This window comes from Homo sapiens, chromosome 15 (assembly GCF_000001405.40).
Source record: "Homo sapiens chromosome 15, GRCh38.p14 Primary Assembly".
NCBI lineage: Eukaryota > Metazoa > Chordata > Mammalia > Primates > Hominidae > Homo > Homo sapiens.
Genome location: NC_000015.10, coordinates 81,598,702 through 81,621,684, shown reverse-complemented (window position 1 = coordinate 81,621,684; position 22,983 = coordinate 81,598,702). Strand labels below are relative to the sequence as shown.

The window sequence follows — 22,983 nt, the reverse complement described above, 5'->3', positions numbered from 1 at the left end:
TTTGTAGAGACAGGGTTTCACCATGTTCCCAGGCTGGTCTCGAACTCCTGGGCTCAAGTGATCTGACCACCTCGGCCTCCCAAAGTGCTGGGATTAAGGTGTGAGCCACCATACCTGGTCACAAATGCTTATAGTATCTTTATTCACAATCACCCAAAACTGGAAACTACTAAGATGTCATTCAATAGATGAATGGATACCAAAACTAGTAAATCCATATAATTGACTAATATTGCACAATAAAAAGAGATTAGCTACCAAACCATGAAAAGATATGGAAAAACCTAAAATACTGTCTTAGTCCAGTTGGACTGTGTTGACAAAATGCCATTAACTGGCTGGGTGCAGTGGCTCACACCTGTAATCCCAGCACTTAGGGAGGCCAAGGTGGTGGATCACTTGAGGTTAAGAGTTCGAGACCAGCCTGGCCAACATGGCCAAACCCCATCTGTACTTAAAATACAAAAACTAGCTAGGCGTAGTGGCACATGCTGGTAATCCCAGCTACTTGGGGAGCTGAGGCATGAGAATCACTTGAACCTGGGAGGTGGAGGTTGCAGTGAGCCAAGATTGTGCCACTGCACTCCAGCCTGGGCAACAGAGTCAGGCTCTGTCTCAAAAAAAAAAAAAAAAAGGCATTAACTGGATAGCTTATAAACAATGTAGTTTTTTTTTTTTTTCTCTCATAGTTCTGGGGACTGGGAAGTTCAAAATCAAGGCAGACTCAATGTCTCATGAGGACCCGCTTCCTGGTTTATAGATGGTGTTTTATCACTGTGTCCTCCCAAGGTGAAAGGGACAAGGCAGATCTTTGGGGCCTCTTTTTTATAAGGGCACTAATCCCATTTACGGAAGTTCCACTCTCATAACCTAATCACCTCCCAAAGGCCCCAAATCTCAATACCATCACGTCGGGGGTTAGTATTTTAGCATATACATTTTGAGGGGACAGAAACTTTCAGACCATAGTACCTGCATATTGCTAAGTGAAGGAAGCCAGTCTGAAAAAGGTTACATACTGTATGATTTCAATTATATGCCACTCTGGAAAAAGCAAAACTACAGAGGTAGTAAAAAAGTTAGTAGTTTGCTAGGGATTCAGGGCTAGGAAAGGGAGGGTTGAATAGGTAAAGCACAGATGTTTTCAGGGTGGGAAAGCTATTCTGTATGGTACTATAATTTTAAATTCATGGCAGTCTGCATTTTTCAAAGCCATTGCATGTTACAGCAAAAAGAATGAAATTTAATGTATGCAAATTTAAACAAATAATTTGTCACTTTGCAGAAATCTCAGGATGGAATGCAGAATTTGACAAAACAATCTAACTGTATTCTAAATGTATAAAACAACCTTCCTGAAAGGGGTGAGGGAAAGGTGCTGAGTGAAGTAATTCTGGAAATGAGCGAAGTCTGTAAAACTAAAGGCGAAAGAAACCGTATATAAGTACTATACCGTAGATGATAAAGTTGTATCCCACAGTAGTGTGGGTTAACTGAGATACATATATATTCATATTGAGCAGTTAAGCAAATGGATGGTGGATGGTGAGAGATAGTTTCTCACTGTTGTAGTGAAAGTTTACAGATGCCAAGGGAAGGAAGCTAGTTTCATCCATGTAGGAATGTGCTAGAGTTAGCAACATCAGTAGAAACTCATGCTTGGTTTAACATGTTGCATATAGCAAAATTTATAGATATGTGTATATACTTGGGTTAGTATGTGCACATAAATCTCCTTGTTCTGTCATTTGAGCAGGCATAAAAAAATAACACTACAGTAGGAACAAGCTCACCTAGCACGTTGATCTTGGTTTCTAATACCATTCTCCAATAAAAGGAAACAAAGCTCCTTGGAGAAATGGCTGATTCTAGGACTGGGACAGGAAATATACAAGATGGGCCTAAAGCATCTTGTAGAGCCGAAAGGTAAGGAAATGCTAAAACACAAAACCCCACAATGATGAGGGAATGCCAAGGGGACACAGGAGATAACTGAGGAAGCTCTTAATGGCCAAAACTGGAATAATTTGAGCAAAAAATTCTTCCAATAATTTATATTGGATAAAATAAAGTAGCATTGGATAAAACTTGAAGTATAAAATAAATATTCATGAGTCTATATTGATATAAATAAACGACTGAAGTAATTAAAAAACAAGGGAGAAGAGACAAATCCCTCATGAAGAAGATTGCTAAATGAATTATGTGGACTCTCCACCCTCAAGGAAGAGGAGCATACATGCCCTACTCTCCTCTGTGGAATACAGCGTGGATAGAGGGGCAAAAAAGAGTCATTTTCCTGACAGACACTGCTGCAGCCAGGTAGTCAAGTGATAGGCTATGTTGGTAGTGAGTACCCTTGATATGAAGTGATGAAAATGGCACTTTATTTCCACCATCCTTCTCCCCAAAATCGATCACATTAGTCAAATCATGAGAAAAACATTAGACAGATCATACCTGTCCAGTACACCCCAAAACTGTCAAGGTCATCAAAAACATTGAAAGTGTGAGAAACCATCAGAGCCAAGAGGATCCTAACTAAGTCGGCGGCAAGACAACTAACTGTAATGTAGTGTTCTGGATGGGATACTGGGGCAGAAAAGGACGTGAAAGCTAAGGAAATCTGACTAGAGTATCACTTTATTAATTATCATATATCAATATTGGTTAACCCATTGTAACAAGTGTGCTGTACTAACCTAAGAAGTTAACAGTGGACACTATGGGAGGCCAAGACGGGCGGATCCTGAGGTCAGGAGATCGAGACCATCCTGGCTAACACGGTGAAACCCCATCTCTACTAAAAATACAAAAACAAAATTCGCTGGGCGTGGTGGTGGGTGCCTGTAGTCCCAGCTACTCGGGAGGCTGAGGCGGGAGAATGGCGCAAACCCAGGAGGCGGAGCTTGCAGTGAGCTGAGATCTCGCCACTGCACTCCAGCCTGGGCGACAGAGCGAGATTCCGTCTCAAAAAAAAAAAAAATGTGTGTGTGTGTATATATATATATATATATATATATATATATATATATATATATATATATATATATATATATGTTAACAGTGGAAACTGGGTACGGGACTTATGCAAACTCTCTGTACTACTTGAAAAAATTTTCTTCAAAATCTGAAACTGTTAATGGAAGTTAAAGTTTTTTTCCTTTTTTCTTTTTCTTTTTCTTTTTTTTTTGAGACGGAGTCTTGCTCTGTGGCCAGGTTGGAGTGCAGTGGCGGGATCTCGGCTCACTGCAAGCTCTGCCTCCCGGGTTCAAGCGATTCTCCTGCCTCAGCCTCCCTAGTAGCTGGGATTACAGGCGTGCGCCACCACGCCCAGCTAATTTTTGCATTTTTAGTAGAAATGGGGTTTCACCATGTTGGCTAGGATGGTCTAGATCTCCTGACCTCATGATCCGCCTGCTTCAGCTTCCCAAAGTGCTGGAATTACAGGTGTGAGCCACCGTGCCTGGCCATAAAGTTTATTTTTTAAAAGTGTGAGTTAAAAATGCAAAGGTCACAGAGAGTTTAAGTTATCTATATTATCATCTTTAAAGAATGGCCTGTAGTTTCTTTATAAATAAGTTAGGGTGATAAGAAGTTATTTTCAGATTCAAAAGACGGAGAAACTTTGCAACTCAATGACTATCACTTAAATAAATACTAAGGAATTTTCGTCAATGACAACAAAAAATAAAATTCCCCAGAAAGAATGGGATGCAAGAAATAATGTATTCAAGAATTTGGTTAGTATTTCGATAAATCTAAATAATCTAAATAAATTGAAATAAAACACTAAAGAAAGTGAATTTTGTGGAATTTATTTTTAAAAGAAGAAATTAAATGCTAAGCAGTAATAATGTGAAACCAATAGAGGAAAATTACAGTTAGAGCTTGCCCTTGTATTGTCTGGTAAGCGGAGAGATATACTGAATTAACTGTAGACTTTATTATGTTAATAAATGCCTGTTAAAAATTAAAGAGTAACCACTAAAAAAGAATAGAATGAATAACTACAAAAGGAGTAATGAAAATGGAGATAAAGGAAACATGGGAAAAATGAAATGAAAATAACTTGAGTAATAATAATAATACTTATATCACACTGTGTTCCAGGTGTTATTCTAGTCTGTGTGTGTGTGTGTGTGTGTGTGTGTATGTGTGTGTGTGTGTCTGTGTTGTGTATATATTTAATTAATTTAATAGAATAATTGGAGACCGGAAAGAAAAAAAGAAAGCATAGATAAAATAATTGCAGAAAAAAAGAAGATAGTAAAAACAAGCCCAAATACGTCAGCAAACACAGCAAGTATAAACAGATGGAATTTAAAAGGTACAGATCCTCAGATCAGATGAAATAAAAACACAACTCAGATATATACTGTTTTAAAAAATACAACCTAAAACAAAATAAAAAGTTTTAAAATAATAAACTGGAAAAATATATGCTAATCTGGCAAAGAGAATGTCAGATAAAAAGGATTCTGAGACAAAAACATTAGTGAATCTATAAAGAGAGCATTCAAAATGATAAGGAGATAAACCATCACAAAAATAAATGTATCTAACAATAGAGCTTCAAAATCTATGAATCAAAATTTAACCAAATCATTGCTTTTAGCAGCAATAATGTTGCTATTTTAAAAAATTTAATTGTTAAATAAAGATTGAATACATTCAAAGTGTACAATGTGTTAATTTTCTATGAGTACACATTTTGCAATGGTTATTACAGTCAAATTAATTACACCCATCACCACCCATGCTGCACATTAGACCCCCAGAACTTGCTTATCCTATAACTGAAAGGTCCTACTCTGACCAACATCTCCTCATTTCCTCTACTCCCTAGCTCCTGGCAACCACCATACTACTTTCTGCTTTTATGACTTGACTTTTAAGAAAAATAAAACAATTCCACACTTAAAGTGGAAAACATTTTAACAAAGCCTCTCTAAGAGCAATCAAGTAGCCAAAAGTTAGTAAAGTCAGAGAAAAGTTGAGCACTATAATTAACAGGCTTGATCATAGATATATGGTCAAAGAAATAAAGAAAATATATACTTTTAGAACTTATGTGAAACATTTATAAACAATCTCTACCTATCAAGCCCCAAAGAAGTTTCATCAAAAACCAAAGAACTGGTATCAAACAGATGAAATCTTTGACTATAAAACAATTAAATTAGACAAAAAATCCAATAAATATATTATTTTAAAATTAACAAAATGCAACCCCATATAGCTATGTTAGCTAAAGTACCACTGGTTCCTATGATAAACAAGCATCCACTGCATAATGGCTCAAACATAACAGAAGCTTACTTTATTCCTCAATGAGAGCCTCCAAGGGGTGTTTATTTTTTGTGAGCAGTTCATTTTCTCCCTTTTGCTTCATCTGTCTTCAGTGCTTGATTTCCAAGGTCTGTGAGCTCGTCTGCATGAAGCCAGGGGAAGGCAGAAGAGCATGGAGGGTCAAGTGTGGGAGTTCTTAGGGATCAGGAAAGGTGATAATGGACATCACATCTGATCACATTTTGTTGGCTGCAATGCAATTGTGGCCACTTACAACTGCAAAGGGAAATAACAGCTGACTGTGTTCCCAGTAAGACAAAGGTTCTCATAAGTAGCTATATAGTTGTGTCTTAATAATCTCTAGTCAATGAGAGAATTACAATAGACATTACAAAATATTTATGACTGTCAACAAAATCTCAGCACATCAAAGCACATGGGATGCATCTAAAGTGGGACTTAAGACAAAATATAAAGCATTAGTTACATTTATCTATTAACCACATACACGAGAAAAGCTGGAAATAAGCAACATGTTTAATAAAAGTAAAGAAAAATATTGTAAACCTAAAAGAAGCAAAAGAAAAGATATTATAAGGATGACTGTTGAAAGAAAACAAAATAGTAAAACAAACCAGAACAAAAAATAGCCAGAGAAAGAATAAGAGTCTAAATTCATGCTAGTTAGAATAATGCTAAGATTTTAGAGACATATTCAGACTTTTAAAAATCATATGAAAATATTATGAACAAATTTACACCTATCTAGAATCTAAAAGCTTAGATAAATTAATAACTTCAAAGAAAAAATATAAACAAAATTGACCAAAGAAAAAAGTAGACAAATGAATCGGAAATTATTTAAAATTTTCAGTTCTTACTAAAAATAGTAGTTCCCACAACACACCTCCCTCTTTAATAAAAGGACAGGAGGTCATGTACTAGATTGTTAACACTATCTATAAGAACCCCAAACTGGAAACTACTTCCAGAGTCCCTCAAGAACAGAATGGAAAAATAAATAGTCTTGTTCACACGAAGTAAAACTGTGTAACAATGAGAAGGAATTATCTACACCGACGTGACAACATGGATGCATTTTGGAAAACATAGCATTGGGCAAAAAATTTCAGACACAGGAAGAGTATATCTTGTCCTATTCAATTTATATAAAGCACAAAGCGGGTAAATTAGTCCATGCTATTTGAAGTTAGAACAGAGGCTGTCCCTGGTGGAGGAGGAGACAGTGATTGGAAGGGATATGAAGGAGTTTTCTGGGGTGCTAGTAATGTTCTCTTTCTTTGTAGAGCACTGAGAATAAAGGTATATTAACTTTGTGAACATTCATAGGTATGTAGAAATTATTGTGGAGTGACGTGGCATGATCTCAGCTTACTGCAGCCTCAACCTCCCGGGCACAGGTGATTCTCCAACCTCAGCCTTGGAGTAGCTGGGACTATAGGTGAGTACCATCATGCCTGGCTAATTTCTTGTATTTTTTGTAGAGACAGGGATTTCACCATGTGGCCCAAGCTCTAATAATAAATTTCAGTAAAATGTTTTTTAACAGTTGACAACCAGGTCTAGACAAATTTTAAGGTGAGTTTTTTACAAAAATCTCAAGGAATAGATTATCTTATTTGATACATTAAAGATAGAAAGAAAAACGTGATTCTTTTGATAGGTACAGGAAATCATTTAGCTAAATTCGATACATATGAATAGTCAGAAGAAAGCAAAACAAAATCTCTTAGTAAACTAATCGAAAGGAAACTCTCTTAACTTAGCAAAGAACTTCTAACTACAAATTTATGGTAAACATCTTCCTTACTGGTGAAGTAGTCACACATATACATCATAGGCAGGAACAACTCAGGACAGAGATGACAACCAATTGTAATTAACATTGAATATGAGGCATACGTCAATGCAGAAAGAAACAAAATAAGGACCAGAAAGGAATAAATGAAACTGTCATTCTTGGTGACATTCTAATCCTTCTGTTGAATGGCAGTATAATGTATACTACAGTACAGCACAGCATAAAGTCAAGTCTCAGAGAGTTGAGTAGAGTATACAGTAGTCAAGACATGAGTTCTAGAACCAGGCAGTGTGGATTTGTATCCCAGCTTCATCACCTACTAGCTGTGTGACTCTGGGCCAGTTTCTTTACCTCCCTGGGCCTCACTTATAAATAGAGATAGTAACTACATGCTTAATAGAGTTGTTATAAGGACTAAACAAGTTCATACATATAAAGCACATACTAAGTTTGCAATAAACATTTAGTAGCTTTAATTTTTGCCCTTGAGTTTTTGTTGTTGATATCTAAATACTAACCCTGTATTTGGTTCTTCTATTAATATGATCTTGTCTTTTTGTTTTACATTCAGAGACTCTTTGTGATTTTTGGCTCTACCAGAGCACATTTCTTTTTATTTTCTTGTGCAGTCAGAAATTGTTAATACTGATTTTTGTTGACTGATAGGCTAAGGGGGGTTATCACTTGCTATGCTGTATATTTATGAATTGATTTATTATTTTATCAAAGGGCATATGTTTTTTATAGAGGGGGATATAACAAATATTTTTAAACTACAAAAAAAATCAAACAATCTATCCCTCTTAGTTTACAATCAACCTACTGAGTGTAGATAATTTATTGAATCAATTAAGGTCTGGTAAATAATAATTAACTATGATCTTTGCAAAATGATTCACAAATCATTTTAATTTCAAGAAATAACATCAACTCACCTCTAGAGAATATATGAGTGGAAAACTGCATTTGTAGTGCAAGGCACCATAGTGATACTTAGTGAGTATAATGTGGCCTCTGCCCTCATGAAGCTTATCATTGAAACGACTTTGAAAGGTAGCTGTGTTTGTCATCTAATGGATTCTGTGGCAGAATGTCCTATAGGATTACATCACTCAGAACCAGGGCTGCCCCAACATGCTCTTTCCTTAGACTCTCTGAGGGTTGCTCATACGCAGAGTGGCTACACAGATTGCATGAGGCTTTACATCCTTGGGGTAATGGTAAATGTCTCACTGAGTAAGTGTCCAGGATTTCACATTTGGCAACCCAGATATCTCAGAGACACTTAAAGGGGACTATATTATGGACATTTAAATTTTTATTATTCATTTTTCAAATTATTAAAAGTTTTTGTTTGTTAGTGTTTTTTTTTTCAAGGTTTCGCACTAGGGATTTCTTTTTAAATCCAGGAAGCTACCAAATGCTAAGGAGATATATGAGAGTGCAAAGAGCACGGGCCAAGACAGCAAGAAGACCTTTCGGTCATTAGACAGAATCTCTGAAAGAGATGGCAGCTGGGATCAGATTAGAGGGGTGTCTCATAGAATGAAGGATACAGAGTGGAAGGACTGCTGCCCCTGGGGTATTGGCTGTTGAGGAGCTCTGCTGGGAAGCTGTCAGCAGGAGGAGGAGGCGGGAGCAGGCATAGCCTTGTGGCCACCATCAGGAAATTGGGAGGTCATGGTAGATGCAGGAAAGCCCTCCTGTACCAGAGAGAAGACAGCAGAGGGGGCTACTTAGAGGCAGGAGCTGTGAATGGGGTGCCTGAGGCCAGAGAAGGAGGCAGTGCTCTGTGTGCATGGGGACACCCAGTGGGAGCAGCCAATGGGACACCTGTGGGTCGTGTTCCTATCCCACCTTAACAATCACTGGGGGCAGGCTGTAGTAACAAAGCCTGCACTTATACTGGATGCAGGTTCTCAGATTCAGAGGCAGGAACACACGCGAGAGTGATCAAATGTCGGAAGCAAATGAGTACCCCGAAAGGGGATTAACAAACCCAACAAAGGGAGCAACTGCCATCCAAGGAAATGGTCAAGTGGTTTCAGATTGATATGTGAATATTCTCCACGAGATAACAGCAGATATTGCATCTATAAACGATCAGCTGGAAAACTGAATGCTTGAAATAAACAGCAGAAGGCAGCTAAAGACCAAATTAATAAGGTGATGTTTAAGCCAAGTCCCCAGAATGCAACAGAAATGGACAGGGAGATAGAAACTATATTTAAAAAAGTGATATGGAAGGCAGGCTCAAAAGTTTCAGTGACTGCTTAGTAGGATTCCTGAAATTAAAAAAAAAAACAACAGCAACAGCAACAACAACAACAACAAACAGAGAGAAGTGGAGGAAGAAATATTTGAAGAAATAGCAACGGACAGAATTTAATCTCCAAGAGAGCTTTTGATGAGTCTCAGTTCTCTGGCTTTAAATTAATCAGCCCAATGACCTGTGGTGGAAAACTGACTTGCATGGTGCCAAAAGCATTCCTGTTTTTGTTCGCTGACCTGTAGACACTGATACTTTGAAGCAGAGCAGGATTCTTCAGGGAAGCTTGTACTGGCCTGAAGGGCAGTGTGGAGCAGTGGTTAGGGTCACAGACACTGAAGTAGGACGCTAGCCTGTGTGTGCATTGCACTGTTTGCCAAGACGGGCACTTCAGGCAAATGTTTACTGAGCACCTACTATGTGCAAGGGTCATAGTAGGTGCTCAATAAAGGCTCATAAAGATTATGTGCAAGGTTCATAAAGCAGGGGAGACAGTGGTAAATTGGATCAATTCCTTGTCCTTGTGGAGTTTACCTTCTAGTAATAGTGAGTGACAGGCAGTAAACACGTGTGTGTGTGATATAATTTCAAGTGGTGATAAATGCTATAAAAGGAAACTGAGTAGAGTTAGGCATTGGGGAGCAAATTGGGATGCTGTTTAAGTCTGGGTGTCAGGAGGTCCTCCCTGAGGAAGTGACATGTGAGCACACATTTGAAGCATGTGAAAGGTCAGCCATGAGAAGATTTGGGGAGGAATTGTTCCAGAAAGCAAGACTAGCAAATGCACAGGTGTGAGGTGGGAGCAAACTCAGTGGTGAGGAATGGTCAGAGGCTCCCAGCCTCTGAATGGCCAGAGGTTCCTCATCTGTAGGAATGCAGATAATCTTAGAACCTAACTCTTAAGCCTCCATAAGGATTAAATGGCAAAATCCATGAAACGCAACTAGCACATTTGCTGGCATGTGAAAAATTTCTCAAAAATGTTAACTTTCATCCTCATTAAGATCTTTTTGCCTTGAATAGGTTATAAATTAGCTCTGAGCAGCACACTACTCCTTTATGCTTAATTTCTCCAAGGCTGCCTTGTTAAGAATATGCAGATCACATCATTAATATGCTCTTTTTTCTCCAGAGAGCTGGTCTTCAAACTGTTCTCTGCTCAGGCCTCTGCTGACTGACAGCTGCACTAGTCCCTCTGGGCTTGTCGGGTTAGGGGTACCTGAAGTGGTGGTAGTCTTAAGAAACTACTTAATGGTAGGGCTTAGCCACATTTCCATACTTTTAGCTTTCCTCATGCGATTTACTTCTCTTCCAGAAAATTCTGGCCTGGATATTAGAAGACCCAGACTTGAATCCTAACTCTTCATCTCTCTGGTCTTTTCTGGATTTCCTCAATTGTAAAACAATCAAGAGTTTTCAGTGGCGTTGATGAATGGCTGAAAAATTAAAACACCACCAAAGTACTTAGCAGCAATTATTGTTGTTTTTATTTCACTTTTATTTTAAATTCAGGGGTACATGTGCAGGTTTGTTACATAGGTAAACTTGTGTCAAGGGGGTTTATTGTACAGATTTTTTCACCATCCTGGCATTAAGCCTAGTACCCATTTGTTATTTTTCCTGATTCTCTCCCTCTTCCCACCCTCCACCCTCTGGTAGTCCCCAGTGTGTGTTGTTCCCCTCTATGTGTCCATGTGTTCTCATCATTTAGCTCTCACTTAGAAGTGAGAACATGCGGTATTTGGTTTTCTGATCCTGCATTAGTTTGCTAAGGATAACAGCCTCCAGCTCCATCCATGTCCCTGCATCCAGGGCATGATCTCGTTCTTCTTTACGGCCTTAGCAGTAATTATTAACTACCACACTATAACTGTGTCTCAACGTATTTCTAAAAAGATCCACAGTACACTTCAGTTACTCAGATTGGTGTTTTGCACCATGTCACCGTTTGTACAGAATCGTTCACCACCTAGAGCACACCATCTATCAGCCCATTAGGTGCAGCATTTGATTTCACTTGACACCCTATTGAGGTGGTGATGAGAGTTTTTATTCCCCATCTTCATGTTTCCAAGAGGGAATTTGGCCTCCCAGGATGAAGCAATTTGAAGCAACACTTACTTACATTCTCCTTTCTACCTCCTTCATGCCCTTCCTCCCTGAGAAGCCTCTGTTTTTGAGCGTGTGTGCTGCACAGCTCCGTTAGCTGTCTGTCACTTTGGATCAGCCGTCTGCAGGACGCAGCAGTTCTCTGCCTCTGCATGACGTTAGCTCACCATGGCAGGTGTTGTCCCTGAGAAAAGGTGATGGAAGGAAACCCTGAAGCTGTGGGACAGCATCTTTAAGCTCAATTGCAAGGCAAATACAAGACCCAGTTCTCCAGTCTTTCCCCACACTCATAAAACCGGTAATTTTACCTCTAACTTCCTGACTCCTGTATCCTGTTTCTCAATGGTAACCAAATTGCAGAAAAGAGAAAAGAATATAATTATTCCCCCTAAACCCCAGGAACCACTTCTTATACTCAGCAGGGGAACTAGCTTTTGTTCAACCCATTTAGTTTCATCTTCCCTCTAAAAGATTTCTCTGTGATCATCGGCACCCTCAGTTTCAACAAATATCCACTTTACACATTGATCAAAATGTAGTGGCAAACTGAGATGAGCTTTAAAGAAAAAGTGGAACCACTAGCCTAATATTTAACACGGAACTTGCCAGCCCCGGGATCATGACACCCAGGTGTGTTGCGTTATCACCAGCTGTGTGTTCATTCCAATTTTTCATGCTAAGGGTCAAATACTGATGTTGTGAAAGATGAAATTTTCTAAAATGAAACCTGAAATTTATCAAGTGCTCATTACATGTGAGATACATTAATACCGAGTCTTCAGAGCAGCCTCATAAATATGGGTGATTACTCTCCTCACTTTACAATGAGAAACTGAGTCAGCCAGATTAAGAAGATTGGCCCAAAGTTAATTACAGAGTGAGTCAATGGCAGAGGTAAGACGCAAACCTCTGTTTCCCGTAGTCCTCGTTTTTCCCTAACACCAGGCTGCCTCTCTCATCTATTACCTGTCTGTTGGTAGATATTCCAATATTTAGGCTGAGAGATTCTCTGTTCATGAGGGCAGTCCATACTTGATTTGCTATTTTGAGAAGCAGTTCCCTTTAAAATTGGAATAAAACCACAGATGCATTTCAAGGGGATTTCAGCTCCCTTATCAGCGAACATTCCCAGGGAGAGGATGTTTATGGTCTCTTTCCTCTATGATGTATTTTGAGGAAATGTCTCTCCTTTTATGAAAGGCTGACCTCCTTTCACCTGTGCTCTGATTCACATCTCTTCCCACCTCCCCAGGAAACTTTTATCTTTCCATCAACATCCTAACATGATCGAGTTTCTCCCTTTTTAAAAAGCAATCCATTCCCATCCCAGACTTCATTTCCTCCTTCGTTGCTATCCTGTCTTTATCCTTTTACAGACAGATTATCCACTGCTTCATTGCTCAATCACTCCTCAGTCCACTCAAAGAGGTTTTGCTGCCTCTGTACTCCATGACAGAAAAAAAAGAGAGAGAGAGAACGAAGGAAGGAAGGAAGGGAGGGCGAGAGAGAGAGAGGGAAGGAAAGAAAGAAAGAAAAAGAAAGAAAGAAAGAAAGGAAGAAAGGGAGAAAGGGAAGGAAGGAGAGAGAAAGAGCAAAAGAAAGAATGAAAGCAATGAGAAAGAAAGAAAGAGAAAAAAGAGAGAAAGAAAAGAAAAGAAAGAAACCTATTGAAACCTATTCTTGCTAAGGTCCTTATTATCCTCTAGTTGACTAATCCAGTGTATTCTTTCCATTCTTCCTTTTAGTGCACCTTGCAGTAGTCCTTGGCTTCATCAACCACTTTCTCCTTCCTGAAACCCCCATCAATTTATCCTATTGCTGCTTAGTCCTGGCTATTCCTTCTCAACTTTGCCAATTTCTCCAATTCTAAAGAGCCTTCAAATAATTTCATCAAATACTCATAAGTATCCTTTGAGTTGGTGTCACTATCTCCATTGTATAGAAGAAAAAGACTGGGACTCAGAGATATGAACTAACTTATTCAAGGTTATAGAATTAGTAGAATTAAATATCTTAGTCTTGTCTGATTCTAAGCCTTATATCCTTGATCCCTCCAGAGCTCAGGTCCCCAAGATCTTAAGAGAGGGGCAGTAGGGACCAGAAGACCTGGATTGTGTTGCATGTTTGAATCACTGTCTGCATGTCGTTTCTTCTCATTGGGATTTACTTTCAAATCCAGGCCCTACCACTTTCTGGTTCCACAATTTTCCTACTTGCATGACCAAAACCAAATTATTCCATCTCTCTAGACCTGAGTTTCCTCAACTGCAAAATGACGATAATTACAGGCCCTATCTCACAAAATTGTTGTGAGGATTAAATGAAATAATACATGTAAAACATTTAGGAGCGTGCTTAGTATGCAGTCAGTTCTCAGTAAATGCTAGTTTTGATGATGAGGTTGATGCAAAGAAAGAGGAGGAATGGTAGTGTATGGACTAGGTGATTTCGAGAAGCCCTTTCATCACTGATATAGTGTAATTTCCCAAGGAAAATGGTCCTTTCCAAGAGGCAGTCCTCTGATTATACAGGTAATGTGGCCTGAAAGGTGACTTTCATTTTGGAATTAAATTTAGATGACACGCTTCCATTACCTGTTTCTCATTGCAGGCTGTGATGCTGCTTGGAGGTGCCACAATCCAGTAGAGCAGTGCACCTGAGGCCATGCTGAGGTCACAGTCTTTTTTGTGAACCCTTATCAAGGGAATCAAGGAATGCAATCAGGCAGAAGGGCTTTTAGAGATCTGCCCTACACGGATGAAAGTTCAGAGGCCCTGCTCCCTGTGCCCTCTCCACATGGCCGTCACAGTGGCCAGCATCATCACTCGCTTCTCGGTGAAGGGTCTATCAATTCACCTTTGTTGGCATGGAGGGGAGGCCTTCACCAGACAAGAAATAAGGTCTGAAGGGCATCTCCTCTTTGCTGCCACCAGGCCTGAGCCACCTGATGGCATTGTTCCTCTGACCAGGTCAGTGTTTGTGACAGGGTGTAATTAAAGAGCTCGCCAGCCTCGGTAGGAAAACTGGAGAGACTGGGGGGAAAACTTCATTTCCTCAAGGGCAGCCAAGGGTGAACAGACTCCACATTGTGCTTGGGGCTGACAGCCAGGTCAGCCACTGGAGGGAGAGAGGATAGTCCTTCTGTTGCCCATTGATTCCCCTCACATTATGTGAAGGCAGCTTCCTGTCCAAAGGGCAGACGTATGCTCCACCCAACCTAACAATTAGGAACTACTCAGCAATGAGATGGGCCCCAGAAGTGTCTCTGTCACAGAAACATTAGGCTGCTGGAATTTCAAAGCTAAGGGTGAGAAAGTATGGAAATTTGTAGAACGTTTAGTTCCTCCACCCCCATTTTGTAGAAGGCAATCTGCCCAGGAGTTCGAGACCAGCCTGGGCAACATGGTGAAACCCCATCTCTACTAAAATACAAAAAAAATAATTAGCCGGGCGTGGCAGTGCGCGCTGTAGTCCCAGCTACTCGGGAGGCTGAGACAGGAGAATTCCTTGAACCCGGGAGGCGGAGGTTGCAGTGAGCCAAGATCGCGCCATTGCACTGCAGCCTGGGTGACACAGTGAGACTCTGTCTCAAAAAAATAAAGAGAGAAAACAGGCTCAGGGAAGTTAAGCACTGTAGCTCACACAGCAATAGTCTGTGCAGTTAAGACCCTCGGTCTCCACCCGTAAAGGTCCTTCAAACAGAAATAGTTGAACCCCCATCAGGATTCTTTCCCATGGCGGGTGGGTGAGGGCATCAGTGAAGGCCCTTCCCACATTACAGTTCCCCAAACCCAAATTCTTCACGGAGCTTTCCAGAACATCTGAATGTCTTTTGGATAATGCTTCTGGGATTTTATGGAAACTTCATAAAATGGGGCCTAAGTTTGTTTGTCTGTTTTCCTGGAGATGCATGCCATACCAAATTAGAATCAAATTGACAGACTCACTAAATGGTCTGTCACTGTAACAGGAAATCTTGCAGGCATCATGTTGTGTGGGAAAGACAATGAGGCTGGGGTGCCAGAGACCTGAGCCCCAATCCTGCCCAGCTGCAGGCGGTTACCTAGGACTTGCTCCTTCTCTAACCTCTCTAAGCCTTGGTTTCCTTGCTTTTCACGGAGACTACTGCAGCATCCCTTGCTCTGATGTGTTGGCCAACATCGCACACTGCCCTGGCCTTCGCAGAATACACAGCGTTTACCGTCACCCAGTGCTGCCTCTCTCTAATGAGTGTGTTGAATTCCCTTCACTGCTTTGAGCCAGTAAAACTTCTAAAGCATGTCTGTCAATTCAGAAAGCATTTGCTGGACACCACATGTCTTCTGGACTCCGCTTTGCATAGTGTGTGTGTGGCAGGGGATGGAGGCAGAGCAGGTAACATAGCCTGCATCTTGCTCCTGCAGTACCCAGATGCATGCTCCAGGAGGTGAGGCAGACATGCCCACATTTCACTCAAGGATGGTCTGTGCCCACCCAGTGTGCCTGAGTCCAAGATTACATGGGAAAGGGAGTGTGTGTTTGTACATATGTGCGTGTGTGTAGGAGATAGTGGGAACCCAGTGGGAAGGCGCCATCTTTCAGTATCAAGTGAGAATTTGGATTTGATTCCTTGATTCTCTGGACAGTGAGAGCCATTGAGCTGTTTTGGCCTGGGGAGACAGCCCTGGAGCTGTGTTTTTGCGTGCTACTTCTGGTTGTGTGTATAAAATGGATGGTAAGCAGAAAGCTAACATCAGAAAAAACCCTTTTCAAAGGCTGATATGAAGCCTTAATTACTGTGAAAACAAGGGCAGTGGTGGCCAAGAGACTGAAAAGGACTGCAATTAACAAGCCTCGGTTTGCCTCCATAGGAGGTGGCAGGAAAAGGAGAAGCCAAAGAGAACTATGCCCAAGGAGCTGGGAGGAGGGAGACACCCTAAACTAAGGAATAGGGAGCCACAGTACATTCCCCTGGAGCACACTGGGCACATTCAGGCAATTATTCACAGATCTTCCTTTTTCTCCAGACGATGAGTTTTTTGAGGGCAGGGACTAAGCCACCTGATTTTTGTATCCCCAAAATGAAAGAGCCCACCACTTAGTAGATGTTCAAACAAATGGGTATAGGATGGATGACTCACAATGAGTTTAGTTTTCAATATTTGTATTTGAAATAGAGACAGTGTGTTGCTGTAGGGAGGTTCAGCAGGCAGGTGGAAATACAAAAATAGCAGTCAGGAGAGAAATCAGTGTGTCGATAAAATCAAGATTATTATTTGGAGTTGTGGTTAAATGAGGTTTTCGAATGAAAAGACGTAACGTGAGAAGATAAGAGAGTGAAAGATGAGCTTACAGCCAGAGAGCAGGCTATGCAAAAGATAACTGGAGGAGGATGAAATTCAGTCAAGCAGGAAGAAAACCAAGGGCAGGAGCCTCTCGTTTTTTGAAGGATAGTGAATGGAAGACTGTTGCTAGGTGAGGCACATCTGAAAGATAGCAACTTTCTAAAGAAAACTTTTTGCATTGCACTTGTGATTGGCTTCTCTTATGAGGCTTCAAAATTTTATTCTAGACTCCTAAAAATGTCATTATACCATCCTTCAAGGTTTGAACAGATTTTTAATTCCGTCTCAAAAAAAAAAAAAAAAAAAGACAAAAACAAACAAACAAAAAAAACAGCAGCCTTTGGTGTAACCGGCTGTGAATCTTGTTTAGAAACAGGATAGACTTGTGCCAGGCACAGTGGCTTACGCCTGTAATCCCAGCACTTTTTGGAGGCCAAAGCAGGCGGATCACTTGAGGTCAGGAGTTCGAGACCAGCCTGGTCAACATGGTGAAACCCCGTCTCTACTAAAAATAAAAAAAATATCTGGGCGTGGTGGTGCATGCCTGTAATCCCAGCTACTCAGGAGGCTGAGGCAGGAGAATCGCTTGAACCCAGGAGGCAGAGTTTGCAGTGAGCCGAGACCACGCCATTGCACTCCAGCCTGGGCAACAACAGCGAACTCTGTGTCAAAAAAAAAAAAAAATTGATCTTTTATTTCCTTTTTTTTTGAGACAGAGTTTTGCTCTGTTGCCCACCCTGGAGTGCAGTGGCATAATCATACCTCACTGTTGCCTCAAACTCCTGAGTTCAAGCGATCCTCCTGCCTAAGCCTCCTGAGTAGCTGGAACTACAGGCATGCACTATCATGCCTGACTAATTTTATTTTTTGTAGAGACGGGGGTCTGGCTATGTTGCCAAGGCTGGCCTTGAACTCCTGGCCTCAAGTGACCCTCCTGCTGTGGCCTCCCAAAGCACTGAGATTACAGGTGTGAACCACCTCAACTGGCCACCTTCATGTAAAAGTTGAATACCAGCACCAGACACTATTTTTATCCCTTCAAAATTGTATCTGTATGTTCTTAAAGATATCGATCGATTTCATTTTTATTTGATCTATATGTAATCCAAATAAACGTTCTTATACTGTATGCATTATCATGACTGTCAAAGGTTTCAATGTATTTTAATAGCCTGAAAGTTTATATGATTATTGCAATATCTGTCATGTTAAAAACTAATTAGAAACAAAACAATGTAGGCAAACTTTAACCAGATTGGGTAAGAATGAGACCATTAATTTTCTTTTTCAAATTATTAGAAAAACATATTGCATATATTAAATTATATTCTTTATATATTTTGTCTGATTCTCTATTATTAGCAGATTCTCTATTATTATTAATAGATTTTTTTAAAAAGCCCCTGTAATTAAATAGAATTAAATAGGATTACTCTTTATTGTATCAGATAATAATGAAATATCACAGTACGTACTGAAGTCAAATAATTCATCAAAATGAACTTGCTGCTGACTTTCATGTGTACTCTATTGAACATATGAATTACACTTTTATTTACTATTATTTTTATCTTCCTTCTGCTTTTCCATTTTGTTTCAGAATGTTCTTCTAATCTTCAGGATCTCCTCTCTTGTTGATTTCATTATCAATATTTTCTTAGCTATCATAATTCTTTTAGGTATTGTCATGATTTTGATCATCAGGCTTAAAATTTTATTTTTCATTGCAATATAATGAAATAAATTTTGGACATTTTGAAGCTTTTGTAAGTCTTTTTTTAAGTTTATTGTCTTCCAATATGGTACTTTCTTTTCATTATATTTGAATTTTGGTATAATCATTAATACACCAAAAATAGTCTAAAATTGAAGATATGCAACAATGACTTCAGTGCACTTTAAAATGACTGCTACATTGGATTGAGATAAACAAACACATAATCAAATTACTCTAATATGATACACATTGATTTATGAATGAATATGTGTAAGCATTTTATTGCAGCAACATGTTTCTTCAGGTCATTTCACCATGTAGATGCTAATTTTGAGTACTGTTTCATGGAACCACTCAACTCTGTTAGGGTGAGAAGTGTCAGATACCTAATAAGATGTAATAAGATGAGATAAATACAACATGACTTCACAAAACATTACTCACTGCTTATAGTATGTTGTATGTTTATTCCCTACAAACAAGAATGTTGATAAATTTTACTTCAAGTGATATCCATCAAAGAAAAAAATAATATGTATGGTATGTTTGCAATTGTTTATGCTAACTTATCTAGTCAAAATTCTGTTTTGAGTAGGTATTGGTGAGAAATGAATCCTCTACTTACACAGCTAGTAATCAGAAACTTTTTTATAAGGGTAACTTTGGTTCTATACATCAAAAACCTTGTTTACCCATATCCCACATATTTTCAGTTCTGGGACCCACAAGACATTTTCACAGCACAATACATTCTCTGGCCTGTCCCTTTGTGTGAGGATCCTGAGTAAAGTAGCAGCAATGGGTGGGGGTATTCCTGGAAGTCATTTTACACTAGCAATAACTAAATATTTTTCCATAATTTTAATTTAGTTTCAATGTTTTTGAATACTTATGTTTTAGATTTCTCATTAAAGTGGTTTACAGTGGGGTATTTTTTCTTACTGTCTGATATATTTGGATTAAAACTACCACCTTACTATGTGCATACCTTTTGTCCTTCTTGTTTTATGTTTCCTTTAATCTCTTTGGTTGTTTTCTTTTGGATTGAATATGTTTTATTCTTTTAATATTCTTCCTTCATTAGTTTGGAAGCTACGTTCTCTTTTATAATTCTTTTGGTGGTCAGTCTAGAAACTACAATGTGATTTTAACTTGTTACAACTTAATGTTAACTGATATTTTTATACTCTTTCTGCTAATAATGCAAGTACCTTAGAATAGCTTAACTCCATTTTCCATGTTCTTATTTAGATGTTGGTGTGTAGTTTTATTCTTTACATACTTTAACCTTTGCAAGACAATATTATTCTTGCTTTACATAGTGAAACATCATTTACATTTGGTTTTAGTTGATAATTTCATGGACCTTCTTTTTTTTTTTTTTATCTCCAACATTCCTCCTATTTGAGAGTGTCTTCCTTTTATCACCTTTGTTCTCTTTGGGCTTTTGCAAAATGTAGATCTCTTGGTGGAAAATTGTTTCAGCTTTAATTTTTTCAAAATGTATTCATTTTGCTCTCATTCTTGAGGGGTGTGTTCACTGGATAAACATAGAATTGGCAGTTATTTTTTCTTCCATCCATTAAATGTGTCCTTCCATTATTTCTGGCATCCATTATTGTAGTTCAGAAGTCAGCTGTCAGTCTAATTTTTGAAACTTCGAGGGTACTCTGTCTTTGTGTTTTCTTTTCTGTTTGGTGCTAAGGTTTACATTTCTTTTCTTTCTTTCTTTTTATTTTTTTTCTTTTTTTTGAGACAGAGTCTTGCTCTGTCGCCCAGGCTGGAGTGCAGTGGCACAATCTTGGCTCACTGCAACCTCCATCTCCTGAGTTCAAGTGATTCTCCTGCCTCAGCCTCCCAAGTAGCTGGAACTACAGGCACCCACCACCACGTCCAGCTAATTCTTGTATTTTTAGTAGAGATGGAGTTTCACCATATTGGCCATGCTGGTCTCAAACTCCTGACCTTGTGATCTGCCTACCTTGGCCTCCCAAAGTGCTGGGATTACAGATGTGAGCCACTGTGCCCAGCCTACGTTTCTTTTTATTCTCTGCTTCTGACTTGTTGGGCTTCTTGAATCTATGAATTATTTCTTTTCATTACTTCAGAAAACTTCTCAGCCATTAGTCTTCAAATAATGCTTTTTACTCATTTCTCTTTGCCTCTGTGACTCCAGTTAAATGCTTTTAGAATTTTTCACTTTTTTCACTTCTTACTCTTTCTTATGTATCTTTTTTATCATTTGCATTTCTGTACTTTATTCTGGATAGTTCCTTTGCCTCTCTCCCAGTTCACTAATTCTCTTTCCAGCATATGCTCATATGTCTCATATGTTCCTCAACCTATGTGTAAATTTTATTTATTGTGTTTTTCTGTTGTAGAATTTTCTCATTGCTCTTTTCAAAATCTGTGTTGGTTTTTTTACAGTTTTCCATTCCCTGCAGAAAATTTTAAGCTTGGCTTTAATCTCCTTTATCATGGTAAACATGGTTATGTTACAGGATGTGTCTGATAAGTCTAATATCTGGAGTACATGTAGACCTGTTCTATTCTTATGTTTCTCTATAGGTCTCATTTATATTTTATGGTCTTCTTGGATTTCCTGGTTATCTTAAATTTGATACTGGATATTGCATGTATAAAACTACATTTAGAAATAATTTGAGGTCTAGAGTGATGTGATCCTCATTTGGAGAGAACTTGTGTTTGCTTTTGCCAGGTGCTTTGGGGGCATTTGAAGAGTGGGATATTTGCCACAATGATAGATGAGAACAATTGGATCTCATAGCAACTGCTGAATTTTACATTTTTAAAAACTAGGGGAATATCTGATTAAATATTTTGTATCCACTAAAAATTTTGGACAATGCAGACAAGAAGGGAAAAGATAAATAACCAACGGCCCTACCATTCATTAACAGCCGTTAAATATTTAAATATTTAGTTAAATATTATATTTGATTGATAAAAAAACTGAAATAAGAACTGGCTTACAGTTATACTACTGGTTAGTGGTATAAGCAAAGGTAGAATCTTCTAGTACACTATTGTCTTCACTACGTAAAACTAATTTATGCCCCTAAATTAGGTTAGTGAGGAATGTACCAATGTGTCTATAGTGTTTTATTTATTTAAATTCATAAGATTATCTATTTTTCTGTTTGAAATATATATGTATGTTTATGTGTGTACCCACAATATTTTGAACTTTTTTTTCTTATGCATTTTAATACCATTTTATTTTCCCCACTAGTCAAGGAGCCGAGACAACTTACTAGATGAACTAGTCTCAGGGTAGAAGAACAGAGCCCAGGCCCTAGAATAAAGACAACAGGCATGAATGGAGTAGCTGAATGAATTTGTTAGACTCGTTTAAATAATAGATTTTTAAAGCCAACATTTTCAATTGAAGAATATAAGTCTTTAGTTTTGTTTGATTATTTGTTTTTGAGAGAGAAAGAGAGTCTTTTGAGACTAAACAGACCAAGAACTCTAAAGAAGGAAGGCATAAATTTTCTATTAAAAAAAAACCCTCAATAGTTTAGAAGAGAATGCATGCTGTTAAAAGATTTAATTTCTACCCAAAAGGAAATAAAAATTCAACATTCTGGCAGGAGAAGGACATGCTGCCTCACAGAAGAGTTTGGCAAAAAATTCCAAAGGGTTGTAAGGAGAACCTGAGAGCAAAGGTGATTTACGTTTTGCTTCTTGGAGTGGCTTCTGTGAACCTTTCTTAGAGGCCCGCCATCCTTTGTAAAACCAGAGGAACAGAGTAGCAATGACTAGATGAGGTGCTCAGAGCAGTGGGGCACTTGCAGAGTCCTAAACACTCAGGACTGAATCACAGCACCCATGGAGGTAGGGCTTAAGGCAAGGAGACATTGTGTATGCAGGTGGCTCTCAGAGCCCATAGAAGAATGGTGCACATCAAAAATGAATGTTACAGATAAATAGTTCAAGGGAACAGGAAGGAGATCAGCAATTAGACCCATAGAAACATAATTTATCTTTGACAGAGGAACAAAGGCATCACAATGCAGAAAAGAGAGTGTTTCCAACAAATGATGCTGGAACTACTGGACACCCACACGCAAAAACACGAACCCAGACTGACCTTACACCCCTCATAAAAATTAACTCAAAATGGATCATAGACCTGAATGTAAAACACAAAACTATAAAGCTTCTAGAAAATAACATAAGAGAAAATCTAGGTAACTCTAGGTCTGGTGATGACATTTTAGATAGGACACCAAAGGCACAATCCATAAAAGAAATAATTAATAAGCTGGACTTCATTAAAATTTTTAAAACTTCTACTCTGTAAAAGACAATGCCAAGGGGATGAGAAGATAAGCCACAGACTGGGATAGAATATTTGCAGAATACATTATCTGATAAAGGATATTATCTGAAATATACAAAGTATGCTTAAAACTCAGCAATAAGA

At 38.8% G+C, this 22,983-nt stretch overlaps 1 long non-coding RNA gene across 5 annotated transcripts in view; it reads left to right on the top strand.

Annotated features, from left to right (window-relative positions):
• The window catches only part of LOC102723985 (uncharacterized), a 50,131-nt gene extending 43,377 nt beyond the window's left edge, over positions 1-6,754 (top strand). For 4 of the 5 annotated variants that reach the window (XR_007064738.1, XR_007064735.1, XR_007064739.1 and 1 more), the window contains one exon: positions 6,643-6,743. This is a non-coding gene — a long non-coding RNA (uncharacterized LOC102723985). Of the gene's footprint in view, positions 1-6,642 lie in introns of all 5 variants that reach the window. The other variant, XR_007064737.1, reaches the window with a different exon arrangement.
• Positions 6,755-22,983: the final 16,229 nt, after the last annotated feature.